A 23,861-nucleotide genomic window follows, 5' to 3' on the forward strand; every position below is an offset into this window, starting at 1 on the left:
TAGCCTCATCTCCCTAGGACTCTTCAGCACTTTTTTTTTTCTTTTTTGGCACTCTAGAGGAACACACACACAGACACACCAGCTCTTCAGCCCCAAAGAGAGAAAGGCAAAAAACAAACAAACAAACAAAAAAAACCAAATGAACTACAAAGTACCATCTAAGCCCCCGCAGTTTCTCTAAGATAATTACAGATCCTGGGGTCTATGTCAGAAAACATGAAATAAAGAGTTGAAAGTAATCTTATCCGTGAGAGCTCAGATTTATTCTTAGTGCTCTTAATGCTCAGAACATTCTTCTTTCCCTTATTTGGTTTGGGGAGGGTCCCAAATGTCTATCACAGGCAAAAGGGAGGGTAGTCTTGAGTAATTTTCTAGAAGTTATGTTCCTGTTGATACAAATCCACTTAGCAAGTGCAGTTATTTATATAGGGCTACACTTAAAATTGCAACTATTAAATCTTGAAGCTTTCTTTTAAAGTAGTCATATTGTAGAAGATTAATATTTTCTGAACACTGGCCAATAAGAATTATGTAATGTGAATTTATAGTGTGATACTTGAAAAACATTGGATTGATGAATTACTATCTTTTTAATTCTCTCTACTACCTTACTAAGAACTAAATACCTGCATTTATCCATGCAGTAAAAAGGAAGGGAAGGTGACATAAAGTTTAGTAGTCCACAGCCAATATTTAAGTAAAGTATTTCCTTATCTCAACTTAAAAAAAAAAGGATTATAGCAGCCACTAACAATTAACCAAATTGGCTGATTAGCATTTCACCTTCCCACTCCTAGACAGGTGTTAATGAGCAAAAAAATATTCAATAGTTGGTAGTTGGAAGCAAAAGGAGAATCGAAGGGCATTGATAATCATAAACTCTAGCCAATCTGTGAATAATCAAGGGTTGACTACACTTTTATTTTATTCTCATATTCAACCTAATAAATGCTTGTAGTTTAATCTTTTAGCTTGAACTTGATACTTTTCGTTTTCAGACCTCCCGAATTCCTATGGTACTTCATAGATCATGAAGCAAAGCCATGTTTGTTATTTTTAAAATTCAGGCTCAGAAGAGTGCTGCAACAGCTATTTCCATAGGCAATGACCTCCTCCCTGTTAGTGGTTCTGTCTTAATCTACTGCCCCCATTCCTGACACAATAGAAAGTTGCTCATTTACCAGCTGAATACATAAATTAGTAACAAATCTTAATTTACAAGGAGGAAATGATTACATGATTACATTCATGATTTTATTCAATTCCTATATCTAGGACTGGGCCTAGAGCCTTTTAACTACAAGTTTGCTATCTTCCCCAAGAAATGAGGCCTTGTTGCAGATACTATGACTTAAGGTAAAGGGGGTCACTGCAAATTAGGCCCACTAGCGGGATGAAAAGATACAAAATCCTCAAGAGCAGCTTCCCAGAGCTCTGGGTTGGTCTAAGGAGGTATCCTAAGAGAAAAGCCCTCCTTACATTGCCCCCCACAAAGAATCTCCAGTCAATAGTGCCACAGCAGTTCCAATTGTTTTGAAAAACGTAGCACTTCATATCTCCATTCATCAGTTACTTTCATAATCTTTCATTGTAGTTAACTGAAGGAATGACATCTTATGTAACTCATTAAGAATTTTCATGGGTCAGATCCTAAATAAAATTAGGCTCTGGAACAGGAAAAAACTCAACTTTTCAAACTAGTTTTACTCAATAAAAAGTTAAAATAAGACTCTAGAAAAGAAATACTAAATTCCTAGTATTGATGTTAGTCTTAAGTTCCCAATCACTATTTTCATGTTAAACATACTGGAAGGAAAAATAAAAGAAAACATATTCTAGACAATAAACATGTTTTGAAGATAATAGCTTTTTCAAACCTTTCTGTGAGATGAGTTGATGAATGTCATTAGGCAGTGAGAAATTGGCATGGTTCTCATTTTGAAAAGTTATTAGGACTCTTTCAATTTATCTGAAACTCCATTCATGAGGTATGTCTTTGAATTCCAAATGGAACCCTGCCAAGCTTTCTGAAACCAAGCAACTGACATTCTTACAAGTGTGTACACCTACTCTTCAGGGAACTCAAAGAATAAAACATTACAAACGATTCATTTGCCCTTCTTTATTTTTAAAGGGTCTTCATTTTTAAAGAGATGTTACCAGTTCATTGAGCTCTTTCAAAAGGACCCAAAAGTGATATTTCTCTCTTCTCAGCAATAGCTCCTGGAATAACTCTCACATCCCACTTCTGCACAATCAGCACAGGTAGACTTGTCATAGTTTTGCATACAGGGATATTTATAAAATTAGGACATTAATAACTGAGCTAGTCTATATAAGTAAATGATAAACTGTGAAAATTTGTTCTCCTATTAATGTCGCATTTAGGTCAAGGGGCATCTCCAACCTGATTATACTGATCATTACCCCTTGTAATATTCACTAGTTATTCTAAATACTCAAGTTAGTAGATAAAAATATTCTCCCTTAGAGAAATTTTTAAACCTTGCTCCTGTGTCTGCTATTATCATAAACACTCAATAAGACATGTATTCTATTTAGCTATGAGCAAAATACTGTCATCCACACCAAGTTTCAAAATGGCAAAATATTTGGGAGGCAATCAGAGAAGTTTTGTTGATTTGTTTCCACCATAATAAAATAAAATTAATTTTTTAAAAAAAGTCAAACCATACTGCATTACCTCTTTCAGTGCTGATTTGTTTTCTCTATGATGTGCAAAAAGAGACATAGTTGGGTGTAGATTGGTATTTACCATTACTCACTTATTTTCTCAGAGACTGGGGATATTTGAGAGAAAGTAAATTTTAGAGTTTATTGTCAAGGCTTTCTGTTTCTTAATTTACAGACACAAGTGGCTTATACACTTTGCTAACCTACCCACAAATTGGTGGTAAGTGGAAATAATGGAAACACACTTTGTACAATATAGCATGTCTAAACAGAGTGCAAATAAATGTGTAGGATGTACAATTGGGAGAGAAAGAGCTATTTACTTGGATTTTAAAATAATAATTGCCATAACTTCCACATAAACCTAAGGTTTCAGGTTCATTTTAATAGGAGACAAAAATAACCAACTGGAATGATTTCAACAAAGAGAAGGAGAGGGCAGAGTATCATGATGCAAAAAACTTCCATAATTAAGAGCAAACAAAATATAAGCTACTGTTTTAGTGCCTCAGTTGAAGTAGCTCACAAGGGAAAATAGACAGAAGTTTACTTTCAGCTTTGTAGGTAAAGAAAAACTGGCAAACACAATTTAAATTTGTAAAGAATAAATGTTGGCTTTTTAACCCTTGAAATGAAGAAATATGGAAGAAACTAGGAATAGTGGAAGTGAATGTGAGACTATTTGCCTTCATTTGACCTTGAGATAACATTAAATAACCTAGAAATTTCTCTGACGCTTACATTTAATAAACTTAGAATTCAGAATCACAAGCAAAGCCTCTATTGAACTATTATTTCATTAATCTTACTTCATCTCAGCACTGTTGTTCACTTCGTTTTAAATTGTTTTGTATTCTATTTGTGTCACGGAAAATATCGTTCTGCCCTCATTACTATCTCTAAATGGCCTGTGCTCATTTCTTTAATCAAGGTTGAAAGTCATTCCATAGGTTTGGCTTACCATCTGATTATTTAGAAACTGTGTAATCCAGATCGTTTCAAATGACAGAAGGCATTCCAGTGCAATTAAAAACCTTCCTCTCTTTAACTCTGACTCATGAGTAGCTGAGTCTCCAATATCAGGCTTCTTTCCTCACACACATTTGACATTGTCAAACATTCTCTTAGAAATTTTTCTGTCAATCTGGTTTTTAGTTAACAAAGGCCATCGCCTTTGTTGCCCCTTCCTTCTTAGAGATTCCATTCTCTGAAGAGCTGGCGTCTGTCCACTACCATTATCCTGTTTAAGAAGATCTGCAGTATCCTGCAGTAGTTGGTCCCTGTGGAGTCCATAATTCAGATTACTGCTTTCTATTCTGCAGTCGATCACATATGACCTTCAGTCTGTGTTCCTGGTTGCTGTTCAGAAGCAATTTATCATTTATACTTTTTCTATTTCTTATAAAATCACAAATGCTTTTCTTATAAAAAATAAAATATCTGATAACCAATTCTTAGATACAAATTTTTTTCTTTTAAATAATTTAAATGGATATTTCTATTTCTAATTTTGAAAAAAATTATAATGTCATCTTGTTCTTGGCATTTTGCTATTTCACATTATCAACAATGTGATCTGCTGCATCTGGTGTATCATTACTAAATACCTCCAAGAGTCACCAATTTTGTGAGCTTACTTATTAATAATGATGCAACTTATTAGTCCCCTTCTTCAATAAATCTATATTAGCTATTTGCTCTGGGCACTAGGCTAGGTTCTAGTGAAACAAAAATTAAGACAGGGATTTTTTTTTTCTTCAAGGAGTTTATAGTCTAGTAAGAGAGTTAAACATTATAATGCAGTGTGTTAAATTCTAGAATAAACTCTATGCATTTTTGGGGCAGAAAAGAAGTTGTAACAGTCCAGGAAAAACTTTAAGAGAAAGGAAATACTGGAGTTGAGTCTTGAAGTGTAAGAAGCTACTTAAACACATGGTTGATTGAGGACGTAATTTCTAAGTAGAGGAAACAACTCAGGAAAAATTAGAGAGACCTAAGCATCATGAACTTTAAATAGTTCAGTAACATTTGGTCACAAGGTACTTGTAAGGAAACTACAGATAAGGAAATAAGGGAATAAAAAAGGGATGGATACTAAAGTATCTCATAAGTCATACTAAGGTGTTTGGTCTTAACTCTGATTTAGGATGACAATAAAGTGTTTTTAAGCAAGAACATGAAGTGATCACATTTACCTTTTAAAAGGACTGGATACAGCAATAAAATGGTCATCATACTTTCCTTAAGACAACTTCAACGCAGCCTTAGATACAGAAGTCAAATTGCAGAATGAAGGGCAAATGAGAGACCACACAATGAAGAATGAAACTAAAATACACTTTAAGGAAGCTTTTTTGAAAAGCAGGGAAGTGAAATGGATTAAGAATTAGATGGGGATACAGGCTAAATTAGGGATAATTTAGGATACGGTCTAAATTTTTAAAGATCAAAGAGTCTTGATCATGATTATCCTTTAAGGGAAAAAATACAGGAATGAGGGAGGAGAGATTTATAATATCAGAGAGAGAAACTATAAGAAATAGAGAAGGAGTTTGAAGCAGATGGAAGGGTAAAATTAGAGCTCATATGGAGAATACTTTTAAAGAGAAATAAAATTCTTCATAAATCTAAAAGAAAAGAAGTAAGATTTGGCACAAACATGGATAATTTTTTAGTTGTGAAAGGAGAGAATTAAAGGAATTCATGCCTTGTGGCATTATTTTCTCTGTAAGTCAATGTAATCTGCTGAGAAACAAAGGGTGAAAATGGAAGGATACCTTGAAGAGAGTTCTGAAAGTTTCAAAAAGCTGCAGAGGTAAAGCAAGAAGCAGCTCCATAATGGCTGCACAATGCTAGTGAGAGGCCACTGGGCTTAGAGACCATACATTTGTAGTAACAAATCCAGACTTGTATTAATTAGGGTAAGTCAAGTGGAAAAACCAAGAAGACCTTTAAATACGCCTCAAAAATAAAATAAAACTTACTTCCGTCTCCTGTTGACACTCAATCTACCAAGAATGAAACCATTTCTATGATTGGATATCAGGGTATTTGACTTCCATTTTTAAAAGTAATTTTTAAGCATTTCTTAATTCAAATCTCTTCTCTCTTTCTCTCATTTTATTTGGAGAGGGGAGTGGACTACCACCTGAATGTACCCCTGCAGAATGTTGCATCAATTCAAACTAAAGATGTATTTCACAGTCATTACAGAAGTCCAAGGAGGTATTCCAGGTTCGAGGGCAGCTATTCTCTATAGGGGCATTTAGAGATACAGGATATTGGCACTTCTGCAATCAATTATGTGACTTCCCAAATTGCTCTGGACATTAACACTCCAGCCAGAAGAAAGGCCATGAGAAAGGGCATGTGAATCAAGCCTGGAAGTGACATGAATTGCTACTGCTCCAGTCCATGCGGAAAATTTGATTCTTGGTCATACTTAACTGTAAGTGGGTAGAATTGTGGGATGGCAGTGACATCCTATTAAAACCCTGTTACTAGGAATGAAGTATCCACCACCCCACTGTTTTGGGGTTCTCCGTAGCTGTGATAGTAGATTGAGCATGAGAACAGATCATTAGATGGTTGAAACAAAATCTTTAGAAAGTTTGGCCTTCAAGAAAATTTTAGCTAAAGTTCAACCGAGGCAAGGAAATGGGAAGAACAGTACAGATATGAGAGTTTGGGAGAAGATACATAATCTAAAGGGCCTTTATTTAAAGTAGTATCTAAGGATTACAGTGCATATTTATAAATCAATCCTTTTGCATTCAGAATGAGGATTACCCTTGTACTTCTAAATACATGAAGAGCTGTGGCAGCTTATGAATATTCATGTGAATGAAGAACAAAGACGTACCTACCAAGAATGAAATCATTTCTATGATTGGATATCAGGGCATATGACTTCCATTTTTATAAGTAGTTTTTAAGTATTTCTTTATTCAAATCTCTTCTCTCTTTCTCTCATTTTATTTGGAGAGGGGAGTGGACGACCACCTGAACGTACCCCTGCAGAGTGTTTCATCAATTCAAATTAAAGATGTATTTTACAGTTGTCACTGATATATGACTTTGAGAATATGAACTGCTGTATAAATGTTAAATGTTCCCATCCTCATGAAAATCACATTTCACCTAAGAGCCGTGTCTGGTTTTGTTATTCATTATTCATTTGCAGTCAGAATTTTTCATTTTCAATATTACAATTAATTTGAATATTATTAAGTGTTGTCACAACTGGCAGATTGTCAGCTTTCCTTGACCTCTTAACATGTATTCACTCTCATTTTAAATACTTCATTTTTATTCTTAATCTCCTTCAAAACAAACCAGAACCATTTACTCTGTCTCTAAAAATTCCATTTAACAAAACAGATCTGCTTCTCTTTCCTCACTTCTTATGCTTTTATTTAACAGGAGTTATTTTCTGTCTTACACGCCCCCAACAGTGTCAGCCTGACTACCTCAAAGTCAACGCATGTAGGATTTGCATTAGGAAAAATGTACGTGTTTTGTCAACTTTACATCCCACACAGAAATCGTGGGCTTTAAGTTTAGAATATAATTTCAAACCAATATGAGTGATATTTCACACTGGGAACAAATTAGAGTTGTGAACGACACTAGGGATATAAATCCATGCTGTCCTGGATGGTCAGTAAGTAGAATAGATGGTTGGATATGAAGAATAATGTAGAAAGCGCCCTTGTCCCAAAATGTGTCACCCAGTAGAGAAGCCTGTTGTATACAAATCAAAGAGTCTGTCCTGTAATTTAAAAATTAAATTTGAAAGCTATTTTCAATCAAAACGGGAATAACATTTGGAATACAAAATTAAGTTAGCAACTGTATGGCATATCCTGCCATACAAGCCCTGGTTTTCAGGCTTGTGCCCTTTACAGATATTGTTTATTTATTGTAGCATCCTCTCTCAAGAGTCTGGATACTGTCTTGAAACCCTGTCCAACATCACAGTCCATGCAGCCACTACAGCTTACCTGTTGGTTCTTATGATGAATCGCAGTGCCATGAGCTTGAAAAGGGAGTCAGAGGGACTGATTGAGAAGGTTGAGATCTCACTGAAGGGACAAACAGGGGCATAGCCAATGCCAAACCTCACAAACCTCTAAATTAGGGTAGGGGCTGCTGTGTCTTTACGTACATACGTGCTCAGCATTATAATCTGCAGAGACAATTCTGACAATTCACTATATCATTCCAACTATAAAAATCAGCAGTTATTTCAGCTGGTTCAAATTAGAAAGATCTATAATTTTGTTTTTGCTTTGGAAATGTTGTGGACTACAGACACGTTTGATTTAGTCACTGATTGCATTTACATTCCACTAGATTAATCTAGCAGCATCCTATTTTTTTTAACAGAAAGCTTAAAAGCAAAGGAAATTAAAAGAAAAAATAAAATATTCTTATCAAAAAATTATTAAGTTTCTACCTACTCACAGGTGGCACTTATTTCAAAGTATGATTAGTTTACAGATGTTTAGAATATGCACATTTACAGTTTTAAGGATATTAGAAATAGTTAAAGCTAATGTTGGCATTTTACAGGGGAAAGAATTAACACTTGGAAAGGTGTTAATTTACCCACATGTATATAAATTATTAAAGAGCCTAAACTAGAATCTCAGCCCAGTGATCTTTACATTACTCCTTGCTGGGTTTCTTACCCCCTTATCCAGCCTTTCTGGATTTGAACAAGAATCCCATTTATCATAAATATAAATCCCCTTTGGTCTACTCTGAATCCTAAAAAGAGGTGGGTGGTCTTACATATCATTGAAATAAAGGATGTGAATAATATCACCAGTTCTTTCTCCATTTTTCAGCTCTGTTTCTATCTATATATTTGCTCCATTCACATTTTTTAAAGACATTTTCCATGTGATGGGGCAAGTTATGGGCATGACTACAGATAGCCCCAGGTTCATTCAGATCAATAAAGATTATTATCTCAGAAGAAAGAGATGATTATCTTTTCCAAATCTCTGTATATAAAAATTATAAAAATGGGCCCTTAGTGATGGTCTGGCTTAAAATATATGTACATTTCCTGATCAATATCTTGACCAGGAGAATGGAACACTTTGATAGGCCCAAGCTAACCAAATCTTATGGCCCGTGGGCTCAGTGCAATGATTGGCAGCCTCTCAGAAGTGTCCAGGATAGGGGTATGAGGGAAGAGCAGCGGCCCAAGGAGGAGATGTTATTGCCAGAAGATAGTGACCCTTGAACAACCTGAAGTTTAGGTGCACCGACCCCTATACAGTCGAAAATCTGCATGTAACTTTGTCTTCCCAAAACCCAACTACTAATAGCTTACTGTTGACCAGAAGCCCTCCCGATAACATACAGTTGATTAGCACACAATTTGTCTGTTCTGTGTATTATATCCTGTATTCTACAATAAAATAAGCTAGAGAAAAGAAAATATTGGCTAGGCACGATGGCTCACACCTGTAATCCCAGTGCTTTGGGAGGCCGAGGAGAGTGGATCACAAGGTCAGGGGATGAAGACCAGCCTGGCCAAATGGTGAAACCCTGTCTCTACTAAAAATACAAAAAAAAACTAGCCAGGCATGGTGGTGGACACCAGTAATCCCAGTTACTTGGGAGGCTGAGGCAGGAGAATTGCTTGAACCTGGGAGGCGGAGCTTGCAGTGAGCCGAGATCACACCACTGCACTCCAGCCTCGGCAACAGAGTGAGACTCCATCTCAAAAAAAAAAAAAATGTTACTAAGAAAATCATAAAGATATTTACTATTTATTACGTGAAAGTGGATCATCAAAAAGGTCTTCATTGTCTTCATGTTGAGTGTGCTGAGGAAAAGGATGAAGAGGGGTTGGTTGATCTCACTGTCTCAGGGGTGACAGAGGTGGAAGAAAGCCCGCATATACATGGACCCACACAGTTCAAACCCATGTTGTTCAAGGATCAACTGTACTAAGCCAACAAAACAGATGTTCCCTCTTTATTGCATATATGAGAAAACACACACATACAATCGTGTGTACATTTTTCAGTCATATATATGTGAAATGTCCCATCCTTCCAATACAACTATCCCACATACAAGTAGGACGCATTTAACCTCCTCACCAAAGGGCTGAAACACAAAGTCATATCAGTTAATTCATCTCTGGATAATGGACAAAGCTCTTGATCTGGTCTAGATGTTTTTATTTTTATAACCCTGAACCTAGAGTTAAATGATACATTTAATCAATCTATAGTCATTTAATATACAATGGTGGAGAGAATAATCTCTTTAAAAATGAAGAAAAAAAGTAACATGTAGTTATCCCTGGTTCAGAATGTCATACATACTTTGAAAAGAAGCAAGAACTAATTGTTTTCACTTTCCTCAAAAACTACACATGAAAGATGCCACAGTACCATCTTAAAACCATAGTGTATTAGTTTGTTCTCACATTGCTAATAAAAGCATATCTGAGACTGAGTAATTTATAAAGAAAAAGAGGTTTCATAGACTCACTGTTTTACATGGCTGGGGAGACCTCGCAATCATAGTGGAAGGCAAAGGAGGAGCAAAGGCACATCTTACATGGTGGCAGGCAAGGCAGCATGTGCAGGAGAACTGCCCTTTATGAAACCATCAGAGCTCATGAGACTTATTCACTATTACAAGTACAGCACAGAAAACTGCACACATGATTTAATTACCTCCCACTGGCTCCCTCCCATGACATGCAGATTATGTGAGTTAAAATTCAAGATGAGATTTGGGTGGGGACATGGCCAAACCATGTCACATAGTCTGTCCTCCACAAAAGTCTCATCATTTTTGTGTTCTCTTTCCCATTACACTTTCATCAAGGACTGACCATTCCTTGAGGATACCTTTTCTCATGCAGTCTGTCAAGCAAGCAATATTTTATCTTGTACCTTAACACCTAGAGATATTTTGTGGGGTCTGTCTTACTTCTCATTATCTTTTTAGAAAGGTTTCTCCCTCTTCTTCAAAATTCATGTATTTACTATACATACTCCATCTTGTCACTGCCATCTATGTCCCAGCAAACCCTCTCATTCATTGGAAATGTTAGCACCCATCAATGTCTCCTCCATTTCTGTTTTCATCAGACAGTCAAGTAAGTGCTATACAGAGCCATATTGGAGCTTGAGGCAAAATAAAAATGTGCTGCTCTATGTACCTATAAAAACATCTTCCCATATTGTTTTAGTCTATCCAGGCTGCTATAACAAAATGCTATAGAGTAGGTAGCTTATAAACAACAGAAATTTATTTCTCCTAGTTCTGGAGCAAGTGTGAGAAGTCCAAGATCCCTCTTTCCTGGTTCATAGGTAATCTTGTCTCACTATGTCTTCACATGGTGGAAGGGGCAAGACAGCTTTCTGGAGCAGCTTTTATAAGGCACTAATCCTATTCTGAAGGATTCTGCCATGTTATGACGCAATCACCTCCCAAAGGTCCTCAATATCACCTTGGAGGGGTCAGGATTTCAACACATGAACTTGGGCAAGGCACAAACATTCAGACCATAGCATGTATTTTGAACCAAGTAGAAAAGTTAATAAAAGTTCACAATCAAAACACATGACTACAGAGAGCCCTCCCATTGCCTAATCTGTTTGCACATTGTTGCTCATTCCCATAAATTACTCAGTAGGGACACAGGTCCACAAGGGCCTAGGTATTGTCAGCTCTTTGGAAATGGCTGTGTATACTGATACATAAAAACAGTGTTTGAGTACATACTATATGCCTAGAACTGTGCTTTTTTACCAGTTATCCATTTAATTACCAATAACTTTTTACCAATTATCTCATTTAGTCCTAGATGTTTTCATCATGTCTCTCTAAACTTCTTTAGATCAACAGCTTTGTCTATTTTGTTCACACAGCCACATTGTATCTCTATAACTAGCATAGTTCCATGACCTTGGTATGAGTTATAATAGTAACAATACAAATATTTAAATAGAACTGAAATTGAACTTGGAGAAAAACCTTCAGATGACATCTCTTTTCCAATATTTGCCTGAACCCTTTAAGACTGGATAGTTTTGGATGGTTTTGTGTTTGTAAAAAGGCTTTCCTAATTAAGTTAGAGTTTTTCTGTTAAACAAACAAGGCCTCAAGAAATTGGATTCAGTTTCAGTGGCTTTAAACTGTGTAGATATTTTTGCTTATCTGGCATAATGGGTTTATATAGGAAAAGTAATTCCACTTCTAGTAATGCCAGATGAGGTAATTTGCACCAATTCTCCCACCAAAGACAAGAAAATCTTGGATAACCAGGAAAACATATATTTTAACACCTGTATTTTAGAACTAGTGAAACAATGATTAATTGGCAGTAATCCAGTGACAAAGGAAGCCCAAGTTATGAGCTTGTCTTCCTGTGGGGTTCTTTCTTATTTCAGAAGGAACAGATGAAAGTTGAGACAATGAGTGGTACTTTTGACAGTGTTCATGCATGAGAACAAGGATTTGGAGTACAGGTCCTCACAAAAGAGAATGGAACTTCTGAACTTCTCTCACTGAAAGGCTAGGAGTAAAGTTGTACCCTAGGAGTAAAGTTGAATCAAAAACAGACAGGCTCCAGAGATATAGAAACAATCTAAGCACCCCTTAATAGATTAATGAATGGATAAAGAAATTTGTGGTGTGTTGTGTGTGTATGTGTGTGTGATTTGTTATATATTACATAAATATAAAATGAAATATTATTCATCCCTAAAAAGAAGGAGAGCCTGCCATTTGCTACAACATGGATGAACTTAGAAGACATTATGTTAAGTAAAATAAGCCAGATGAATGAAGAAAGAAAATAATGCATAGTCTCACTTTCAAGTGTAATCTTAAAAAAAAAAATACATACTGAATACAGAGAAATAGTAAAACAGCAGTAATGCAGAGGGTAGGAAGGGATGCGTAGTTGTAGGTCCAAGGGTATAAAACTGCACTTTTATAGGATACATAAGTCTGGAGTTCTAATGTACAATATGAGAACTGCAATTAATAATATTGTATAATATACTGATAATTTGCTAGGAGATGTTAGGTAGTCTTAGCACAAGAAAAAAAAGAAAGCTAATTATATGAGATGATGGGTATGTTAATTTACTTGACTTTAATAATCACTATGTATACCAAGCTAAGTACATGAAAATACCATGTTGTACACCTTAAAAATATATATACAATAAAAAGTTACCAAACCAAAAAAAAGAAAAAAGAAAAGAAAATAGGGTCCTACAAGGATGGCAGCTCAAACTCACGTAATATTTAATCCAGAAATTGTATTAGGATAATTTCGAAAAGCTGTTTCCCTAAGATACCTGGCCAAAGCAATAATAATAATAAAATATAAATCCTCTCTGGAGGAAGATAATATTCTATGCCAGAGTTTATTTTTACCAAATGCTTGCAAATACTGTTCAAAGACACAGTTTAAAAATACTCAGGCAATAGAGACGCAAGATAGCATGAACACACAGAAGCAGAAATAACAGTGGAAGAAGTCTCTAAAAGCCTCTGATATTGGAGATATCAAATATTGATTTTAAAATAATTATACTTAACTGTGTTCAAGGAGATAAAAGACAAGAGGGAGAATTTTGAGGGAGAATTTTTAAAACTACAGAATTAAAGGGAATCCTAGAACTGAAAAAGTCAATAACTCAAATAAAGGATTCATTGGATAGTTTTAATAGCAGATTAGGCTCTGCCATAGATAAGTAACTATATATATCTCCAGACTAAAGCTGAGAGAATCAGCTGGAAAATACAGATGATGGGATGCAAGACAAAGCTGATCGAGAGAATGTGTATTAGATATAAAATTGGAGACAGGTGATATTTTAAAATATAATGACTAATAACTTTCTAACACTGAAGAAGGTCATCAAGTAAGTTACAGATTCATGAAGTATGAGAAACTGTACAGAATGAATACAAAAAAACTTCTCACAGACATATCAGTAAAACCACTGAACACCAAGGACAAAAAAAAAAATGTAAATACTGCAAGAGAAAACAAGAAAAGTTATCTTAGAAGGAGCATCAGTTAGATTTAAAACTGACTTTTAAGCAGGAAAATGTAAGCCAGACAAAAATAAAATTACTTCTTTAGAATGCTGAAAGAAAACTGATAACTTAGAATTCTATTCCCAACTATGAATATCTTTAAAAAATGCAGGTAAAATTAAGACCTTTTCAGGAATATAAAATGTGAAGACTTAATCATGAGCCTGCCTATAATGAAAAAAAATTCTAAAAGTCACTGTTTAATTGCATATAAAGAGAACACTTTGAAAAAGAATTAAGAAGCAACAAAAAAGGTAAACATTTGAGAATATCTCAGTGATACTGATCATATAAAACAGTAACAGTGATGCCTTGTGGCCTTCAAAATATAGAACATAATTAAATTACATAAAACAATGACATAGTTAAAGTGTTCCAAGTTCCTTGAGTTGTTCAGGATCAGGGTGAAAATAACAATTAGTATGAGACTTTGGTAAGTGAAGAATGAAGTTTTCTCTGGCGAACAGTACAAGAATCTTAAGACTGCATATCATCCAAGCTAATAGGAGATGAAAAGAAATATTTAAAAACTCAATCTAAAAGAAGGCCAGATGGGAGAGAAAACCCAAAACAGGAAGGACAAATAGAAATGGCTGAGTAAGATGGCGAAGCTAAAAGATATTGGTAATTACATTAAATTAAATTACATTAAACATAAAAATAACTAAATACTCTGTTTCAAAGATAAAAACAGAATTAAAAATACAAAACTCAACTATATACTCTTTATAAAGCCCTCATCTGAAATATGATACAGAAATATGAAAAGTTAACAGATGAAGAAGTTATACTTTGTACTATTAACCAAATAAGGCAGATGTGACTATGTTAATATCAAAGACAGCTCTGAGGCAGAAAGCATGGCTAAAAATAAAAAAGGGCACTTCATAGTGGAAAAAAGTTAAAATGAACCCGGAAGCTACAATATTAAATTTGTATGCACCTAATAACATAGTTTGAAGAATATAAAGCCACAATCTAAACAACTTTATGGGAAAAATAGGTAAACCCACACATCTCTCACTAGCTGATCAAATAAAAGGACAAAATAGAATCAGAAAGATACAGCAATATAAAATATTTGAACACCATAAACACCATAATTGGATATGTACCCTACAGTCTACTCAAAGCTACAGAAGAAACATTCTTTTTAAAATGAGACATAATATTAAAAATTGATTATATGCGAAACTATATATAAAACAAATCTCAAAATATTTCAGAGTACTAAAACAATACAGAATATATTATCTGGTCACTAAACAGTTAAGTTAGCAACAGCAAAAGATAACTAGAAATCAATACAGTTTACGTATATGACCACACCAAGTCTCATGTTGAATTGTTATCCCCAGTATTGGAAGTGGGGCCTGGTGGGAGGTGATGAGATCATAGGGGTGGATTTCCCTTGAATGGCTGAGTACCATCCCCTTGGTGCTGTGTTCATGATACTGAGTGAGTTCTCATGAGATCTGGTCATTTAAAATTGTGTGGCAAACCCCACCCCCAACTTTTTCTCTCTTGCTCCTGCTTTCACCTTGTGATGTGCCTGCTTCCACTTCACCTTCTGCCATGAGTAAAAGCCTCCCGAGGTCTCCCCAGAAACCAAGCAGACACTAGTACCACATTTGTATAGCCTACAGGATCATGAGCCAATTAAACCTCTTTTCTTTATAAATTACCCAGTCTCAGGTACTTCTTATAACAATGCAAGAACAAACTAGTACACAAAACTTTAGAAAAATATAAATTATAAAAGCTAACAAAAGAAGATCTAGAAACTATAGATATCTGGAAAAAATAAATTTAAATCCATAATTTTAAATTTTCTCAAAGAAAAAACTCCAGACCCAGATACCTTCACTTGTAAATCCTACTAAATATTTAAGAAAAAATGAATGCAAGTTTTAACACAAAATCTTCTAGAGACTAGATAACAAATCATTACTCTAAAATATGTTTTAACAGTTCATAATAACCTCAATAAAAAACTAGAAATAATAATCACAAGAAAAAAATTGCAAGTCAGCCAGCCTCTTTATACGTATAGATGCAGAAGTCCTAAGCAAAAAAAAAAAAAATAGAAAACTACCCCAGAATATATAATAAGATGCTGCATCCATGTCTAATTTGGGTTTACCCCAGGCATATGTTTGGCTTAACATTAGAAAATCATTAATATAATTTATCATATTAACCAAATAAGGGAGAAAACTCATATGACCATCTCAACAAATGTACAAAAATTTTTTGATATAAGAAAATATTATTTGATGTATGTATGCATGTTTAAAAACATTAAGGACCTTTCTTAATCTGACAAATGGCCCTTACACCAATGTTATAGCAAAGAACTCATCTGATTATTAAATGTCAAAAGCTTTCCTTGTGAACCTGGGAACATAACAGACTTTTCTAACCAACATGTCGTGAAGATGATGGTCTTATTGTAATAAGGAAATAATAATATGTCGAAAGATTTGAAAGGAAGAAATCCAAATGTCACAAATACAGTTGACATGATTATGTATATAGAAAATACAAAGTAATTTCCTGATACACTATTAAATTTAAAAAATTAGTTTAACAGGTAAAAGCTGATAAAACATTTTCAGAAAACCAGCACTAATACTAATTCCACTCTCAAGCACGTACCTAATATAAATGCAAGCACATATACCACACGTGCCCGAGAGACTTATTCAAGAGTGGTCCTAGTAGTATTGCTAATAATAGCCAAACATTGAAAACAAATTCAAAATTAATCAATGGTAGAATGAATAAGTTGTGGTGTATTGATACACTGAATTACTATTCAGCAAGGAAATTAAATGAACTACAGCTATAACAACTTATGTAAATCTCACAACCTAATTTTAAATAAAATAAAGAGACATAAAAGAATACATATTGTATGTGCATCTCTCTATTTGTATCATTTTTTTAAATAGACCAGGTAAGATAATATTTGAGAACACATACTTAGATAGACAGCAATCAAATAAGTCGTGGGAACAATTACCAGAAATGTTAGGATACAAGTCAACCTTTCAGAAGGAGAAATGGATCTTTATTGGGAGGGTGCATGAGATGCTGGCAATGTTTCTTTCTTGATCTAGGTGGTGGTTACACGTGCATTTACTTGCTTTGTATTAAAACTTCAAGATGTATACCTTTATTAAAATCTATTTTCTACATGCCCTATCTATTTTACAGTTGAAATGATCAGAACAAAAAAAAAACACTTTTTTGTTTTCAAATTTGACCAGGAACATCAAGAAAGCCAGTAATTGTAATAATATAGGAAATAGGGCAAGGATTAGTATGAAAGGAGCAAGACACTTACCTCTGGTGTAAAATGTAAGGGAGAGACAAAAAACTCAGTAATCAGACAAAATAATATTTTAATGGAATATTTTAAAATATTACAATAAACAAAATTCAAAAGGATCAGTAACAAAGCACAAATATGAAGACAGGATTAATATAGACCAGGCATGTTTTAAGTGATTTACATGTATTAATTGATTTAATCTTTGTGAGAACCCTATGAGGTAGGGTTCATTATTCCCCATTTTGCTAATAAAGAACCTGTGGCACAAAGGAAAGCAGTTAGTGTCTCAAGGTCACCCAGCTGGTCCATGGCAAAGCCTCAGTGCAGACCCAAGCCATTGAATCCAGAGACCATGCTCTTACGCACGACAATCCACCTACCCATTTGCAAGAGTACCCAATGCAGTCAGGTCGTAACAGCCAGTAGTCTCCTTTAATATTTCTCTCATTCTGTCCAAATCATATACTAATATTTGCAATAGATTATTGTGTTGGGAGGTGAGAAAAAATTGAAGGAAATCTTTATGAAGCCTCTCTTGTCTTGAGTAAGTCTGATTCCCATGGTGTGAGATATGGCAAGCAGCCAAGAGCATCTCTTAGAGTTCTCCAAGTCCTGCTGCCCTAGGACCCCTGTAAGAGTTGTTCAGAAAAGGTAATATTTGAAAAATATAGGTGAACAAAAAGTACAAATGTATAGCTATTAATTTGAAAACTATACCACAGTGTATTGGTGTATTTTAAAAGCAGCATAGAAAACTATGAAAAATTTGATGGCTTTTTTAATAAGGATGAGGGCCTGGGAAGAGAGTACGTAGCCTCAGTTTAACCTACCTTCGGATATACCAAGTTATTAATCAAACAACATCATTAATCTCTTGTCTTCTGTTAAAATAAGCTCAGTTTAGGCCAGAAAAAAAAGTCAGAGAATCAGTTTGATAAAAATGCAAAAAGCAGCTTAAATTTCAAAGGTGGCTCAAAAATGAATGGCTCTTAATTTCCCCAAGGTGAAACAGTATGCTTGGAGAACACAGAAAGAAACAGGGGGGAAAATTAGGGAACTAAATAATTCCAATACATATTAATGAGAGGCGCTTTTCAGGCAGAGTTTTGTGTGTAGAAACGAAATAGAATTTGTGAGAAGGTAAATTTCAATAAACAGTTATTTATAGATATACGAAATGAGTTCAGCTGAATTTCAGTCCTTCTTAAACTATGAAAATGTCCATTTTCTTCAAACAAGTCGAACTTTTCAGAAACAGGGCTTGCTATAGGCTGCCGATATATCTCACTAGAAGGTGAAAAATCCCATTAAACAACCGCTTTTTAAAATCTTTCCTAAATAGCTACCTTGATGGTTTCACAGAACTATATAACTCTTAGTGTATTTCCTGAATCTTAAAAACTGTCTTTAAGTTTTTCCCCTTCTTAATTTCTGTCTTTTTGTCAAACTGTGGCATAAAATATCACTTTTTAAAAATGAGAATTCTGTTTCAGGAAAGCTCTGTAGACAACGATTGTAACAGAACTGAGAAAGTGAAACCAAAAAGTGGAAATACAACTCTAGTGCCCTGAGGAAGATGGTGAATGAGTTAAGGTAAGACCCAGAGTATCGATCACAGTAGGAAAACTTAGAACTAAATGTTTTAAAGTGCCATTGTGAGAAAGTTACAGTTTTCCCTTCTAAGCTTCAATTAGCAACCTGTGAAGTAAATTTCTCTGAGGCTCATTTTGAAAATTTTAGAATGAAAACTAGTAGTAGACAAAATGTCAGGCCCAAAACTTTAGAATAATCTTTGTGATACTCAGTCGAGTCTCAAAGCCTTTCAATTCATCTCCTTCTCATTATTTTTTATAACAAAAGGAGTTATTTTTGACTGTTAGTGTTTCCATGCAACCATCTTTGACTGTTAATGTCAGAGATGGATCTGTCAGAGCTGTCAATATTCTCTGTGTTTGGGATTTCAGCCTTTCATCTGAACATAAATGTAGAGCTCTTGTATTTTGCAGTTTTGTTTTTTAGTGAGCATGAATGCAAAAGAAACTGAACTTAGAATGGCAGCTACAACTCTTCTGACAAAAAAAAAAAAAAAAAAAGATAATGCAAAAAGGACCAATTTTTAAAAAAGGGAAAATGTTTGGGGCATTAGAGGTTTTGTGACTCTTGCAATATGTTTCTCTTTTCTGAATTGTTGCTCATTACTGTCAATCACCACTCTATCCTAGAACTCTAGATCCTGTCATTTGAATTTCCAAATGTAAATGAAAAAATACATGCCTTTTCAATCCAAGTGAACTTCTTCAAGTTTACTTTAATAAAGGGTTTGTTGTTGTTTGTATGTTTTCTGCATAAGGATCTGAGTAAACATAAGCAATACAGAGTTTTCGTCTAGTCAGTCAGGGTTAGAGGAATGAAAGCTCAAATGTTCCAAGAAGATCTGATTATTTGTCCCAAATGTCAGAATATTGCAGTGAGCTGTGCACCACTCTTTCAGGGAAATGAATGATGGACACTGGGGAATATAAATTGACCCTATGAAGAGTTAATAATTGTGTAGAGAGAACATTAAAATTCTCCATTCTACCTCCATAAATTTTCCTTCCTTCAACAAACAGTAATTGAGTCCTACTCAGGTACTGTGCACCTGGGGATGTAATAGTGAACAAGTTACAACCGTAGCTCTAAAAAGATTATGGACAAGTAAGGAGAACCAGACTAACACTGGGGAAACAAAGTGAGGTTTCCAATGCCACTACCCTTGTTTGCCCCTAGAAGACAGGGAGTCTATTAACATAATGATGCAGCAGAGTCCATTTTTGAAAGGCAACCAGAAATTGCAAGCTTTGTGTTTTAGCTATTTCATTTTTAAGGTTCTGAAAGACCCTGTGCATCACCCATGCATTGACTATATGGGAGATGTTTGTTTGTGAGAACACGTGAGTCCCCTCATCTCACCAAAACAAATGAACCAGTGATCAAACTAGATCACTGTCCTGTTCAAACTCTCCATGACTTCCCACTACAACCAGAATAATATCCAATCTCCTGCTATGCCTATAAGGCCTTGCACGACATGGCCCTGAATACCTCTCTGATCTCCTTTTTATCTCTACAACTAATGCTGCTATGACAAGACCCTCGTTTCTGCCTGTGCCAAGCTTGATCTCAAGTCAAGACATTAGTATGTTCCTTTGGCTTGAAATTATCTACCTGCAGATGATTGCATGGCTGTCTTCTCACCATTCAGGTCAATTCACAATTGCCAAAACAGTGACCTCTTCTTGCCCCTTTCTCCCCTTCAGCCCCTCAACTTAGTTAATCTGCCAGAGTTTCTTGTTTGACTGTTTTTAGCATTTACCTGCAGTCTCAAATTATGTATGTGTTTGTGTGTTTACTGAATGTCTTATAATCCTGTAGGCCTTCCAACGTTTTCATCTCCCTATTCCTAGAATCTAAAGTATTGCCTGGCATCATAATAGGTCCTCAAAAAAATATTTGCTGACTGATGCACTGACTTGTTTCAAAGATTTTCAGAAATATTCATGGGAGAATGGGCAATAGAGTTTCGTGGGTACAAGATGTGGGCAAAAACAGAAAATGTGCATTACTGTCAATATGAAGTTAATTTGTATGTACAGACTACAGAAACTATTCGTATAAGATATATGCATTTCAATATAAGTGCTATAAAGGAAATAAGTCAGAATTTGAGAGGGAAGAAATACCCAGGAAGTAGTGATATTTGAGCAGAGAGCTCAAGGATAATAGGATATAGCTAGTTTCTAGAAGAATGGGAGATGAATGGATAAAGGTGTTCAAAAAATCAAAACCCAAAGAGGTTTAAACTCTACCAAAAAAAAAAAAAACTAGGCCAGGTGCAGTGGCTCACACCTGTAATCCCAGCACTTTGGGAGGCCGAGGCAGGCGGATCACCTGAGGTCAGGAGTTCAAGACCAGCCTTGCCAACATGGTGAAACCTCATCTGTACTAAAAATACAAAAATTAGCTGGGCATGGTGGCAGGCGCCTGTAATCCCAGTCATTCAGGAGGCTGAGGCTGGAGAATCACTTGAACCTGGGAGGCAGAGATTGCAGTAAGCCAAGATCGCACCATTGCACTCCAGCCTGGGTAACAAGAGTGAGACTTCATCTCAAAAAAAGAAAAAAAAAGGAGAGACTTTGAAAAGTGTGAAATGAAAGTAACACTAACATATTTGTATTATAGATAAATAAATAAGTTGAGACTAAAACCAGGGAACTGAATTAGAGAGCTGCTAAAGAAATCCAGGAGAGAGAGGTGATGGTGTTCTTAAACTTGAGTAGATCCACAGGGGAAGAATGGAATTGGATAAATAAAAAGACTGAGACATGATATAGACTCAACAAGACTTGGCTAATTAGTTGGGGGCATAAATAAAGGGTGTATTTTTTTATCTAATTTTCCTTATTAGGCATTTAGATGCATGGTGTCTCCAGTCAATGACATAGATGATTTTGGAGGAGATTTCAGGTTTCAGTGGACGAGATGATGTTCTTATTGAGCTTAAGTTATTAGAGGAGCAGCTAGGTGGAAATATCCAGGAGGCTGTTGGAAATACATGCCTAGGAGGATACATTTGTGCATCATCAGGATATAGATGACAAGTCATGGGAGTGAATGAGGTCAGGCAGTAATAGAACACAAAGGGAGAAGAAAATAAAACCTCAGCTGAAACCCTGTGAAACACCAATTTGTAACACATAAAAAGAAACCAGCTATCACATTTACTTAGAGCAGCCAGAAAGATAGGAGAAAAACTAAGTGTGAAAGCAACCAGAACAAACAAAAGAGAACATTTCAGTAAGAATAACAATTCAACAGTGTCAAGTACTAGGGGAAAAAAATCAAATTAGATTAGGTTTCCAACATGCCCATGAGATTTAGTGAAGTTTCTGATTACAATCACAAGAAGCTTTTATTGCAGTGGTGGTGAAGGTGGGTTTCAGATTGCAGAAATCTAAACAGGAAATGGAAGGCGAGATATGGTCATAATGATTGGAGATACATTTTAAAGAAATGTAGCCACTGGTGGGAGAATAATGAAAGATTGGAGCAGAGAGGTGAGGAAATATTGAGGTTATGATTGAAAGTAATGGAGAATGCATAAATGAAGACGGGAAAGAGCCAATAAGGAGGGTGGTCATGAAACTACAAGAAAAACAAGAGATAATTAATGAGCAAGATTGCTGAGGAAGTAGGAGGAATGATTGTATAAGACTGAGATAGATAAATTATAAGAAGGGACACTTCTTCCCATGAGAGGATTATAATAGGAAGAATATATGTAGAACAAGTAAATTATGTATATGTGGAATAGGAGAGACAAATAACAAGGAAAATGCAGGGAGAATGACAGATGGTATTGATGATAAGAATTTTTCAAGGCACAGTAAGTCTGTGATTTCCTTCAGCAGTGCTCAACTGCTCAATTATAGAAATGAAAAGGTGGTAGTTATATTGGTCAAGATTTGGGGGGCTGTTGGGTATTCAAGTGAAAAAGTAATATAGCAATAGAGTTAAGCTGTTTTGAAACTGTGAACATATGATCTAATATGAACAGGAAATAAAGATAAGAGGTGTTCACAGCCCAGCTGGTAGAATTCCTAAGAGCTGAATATTCTGACATATTTTCCTCTCATTCTCTTTTTAACTGATTCCAATAAGACTTTGTCTCAAACACACCATAGAAATGGTACCTGTGAAGAGTATTCATAATTTCCATCATGCCACATACCAATGAAGAATTCTCAATCTTCATCTTCCTTGACCCTCAGTAGCAAGATCAAGAAGAGACAGGGGATCACTTCCTTTCTTGAAACTTTTTCTTTACTTGGGTTCCTGACAACCATTTATCTTCGATTTACTCCTACCTTCCAAGCCACTCCTTGGTCTTGCTCTCCTGTTCTATCTCCTCTTTCTGAATCATAATTTTGGAAGCACCTAGCACTGAATCATTGAGCCTTTTTCCTTATTCCCTAAGTGATCTCATCCAACTTCAAGGCTTTAAATATCATCTATTTTCTGATAGCTTCAACATCAATCTCTTCTGTTCCTACTCTCCCACCACTTAACATCTCCATTTGGATGTCCAAAAAACAGCTCACACTTCAATTATGTAAAACAAATTTTTCATTCTTACCACCAACCCCATTCTTCCTTCAATTGTTTCCACTTAATAAATGTCATGCCAATTACCAAGTTATTCTGACTAAAAACTTAGCAGTCACCTTTGATTCCTCTCCTTCTCTCACTTCTTATATCTAAGCCATCATCATATAATATTGAAATGGGAGAGTTCCCTTATCCCCCTCACATGGTGTGCAACAGAGGTGTGGCTGCCCGCTGCTCAAACCCCTAGGGGAAGCATGCAGATGGGTGGGTGCAGAGGTCATGGGGACAGCTTTTAGGTGTCTAGGGCTGAGTGTTTACAACTCCCGAAGCCCAAGTGGGCATGTGTTACAGTGTGCTCTTTCAGCTTGGCTGTCTGCAGATGGCTCGTGTTAGCTCAATTGGACGCTCTTCCTATTACAAGGGCAGAGGGCTTTCTGTATCCCAAGTTCTTGTCCAGCGTACTGGAAAAATCAGATCACACGTGGGCTTGGAGGATGAGTGCAAGGTTTTATTGAGTGGTGGAGGTGGCTCCCAGTGAGATGGATGGGGAACAAGAAGGGAGATGAAGTGGGAAAGTGGTCTT

General features: G+C 35.6%; 1 long non-coding RNA gene across 1 annotated transcript in view, besides 1 other annotated feature; it reads left to right on the forward strand.

The window, feature by feature from the left end:
- LOC105377981 (uncharacterized) overlaps positions 1-23,861 on the forward strand; it is a 58,946-nt gene that overhangs the window by 26,716 nt on the left and 8,369 nt on the right. Inside the window, exon 2 of the long non-coding RNA XR_942943.3 lies at positions 18,625-18,724. This is a non-coding gene — a long non-coding RNA (uncharacterized LOC105377981). The remainder of the gene's footprint in view (positions 1-18,624; positions 18,725-23,861) is intronic.
- Positions 3,597-3,797: a silencer, noted in NCBI's record as "peak6092 fragment used in MPRA reporter construct". NCBI's record gives its function as "represses an SCP1 promoter by STARR-seq MPRAs in K562 erythroleukemia cells {active_cell/tissue: K562}" and the evidence as "EXISTENCE:reporter gene assay evidence [ECO:0000049][PMID:32103011]".

Source organism: Homo sapiens, chromosome 6 (genome assembly GCF_000001405.40).
Source record: "Homo sapiens chromosome 6, GRCh38.p14 Primary Assembly".
NCBI lineage: Eukaryota > Metazoa > Chordata > Mammalia > Primates > Hominidae > Homo > Homo sapiens.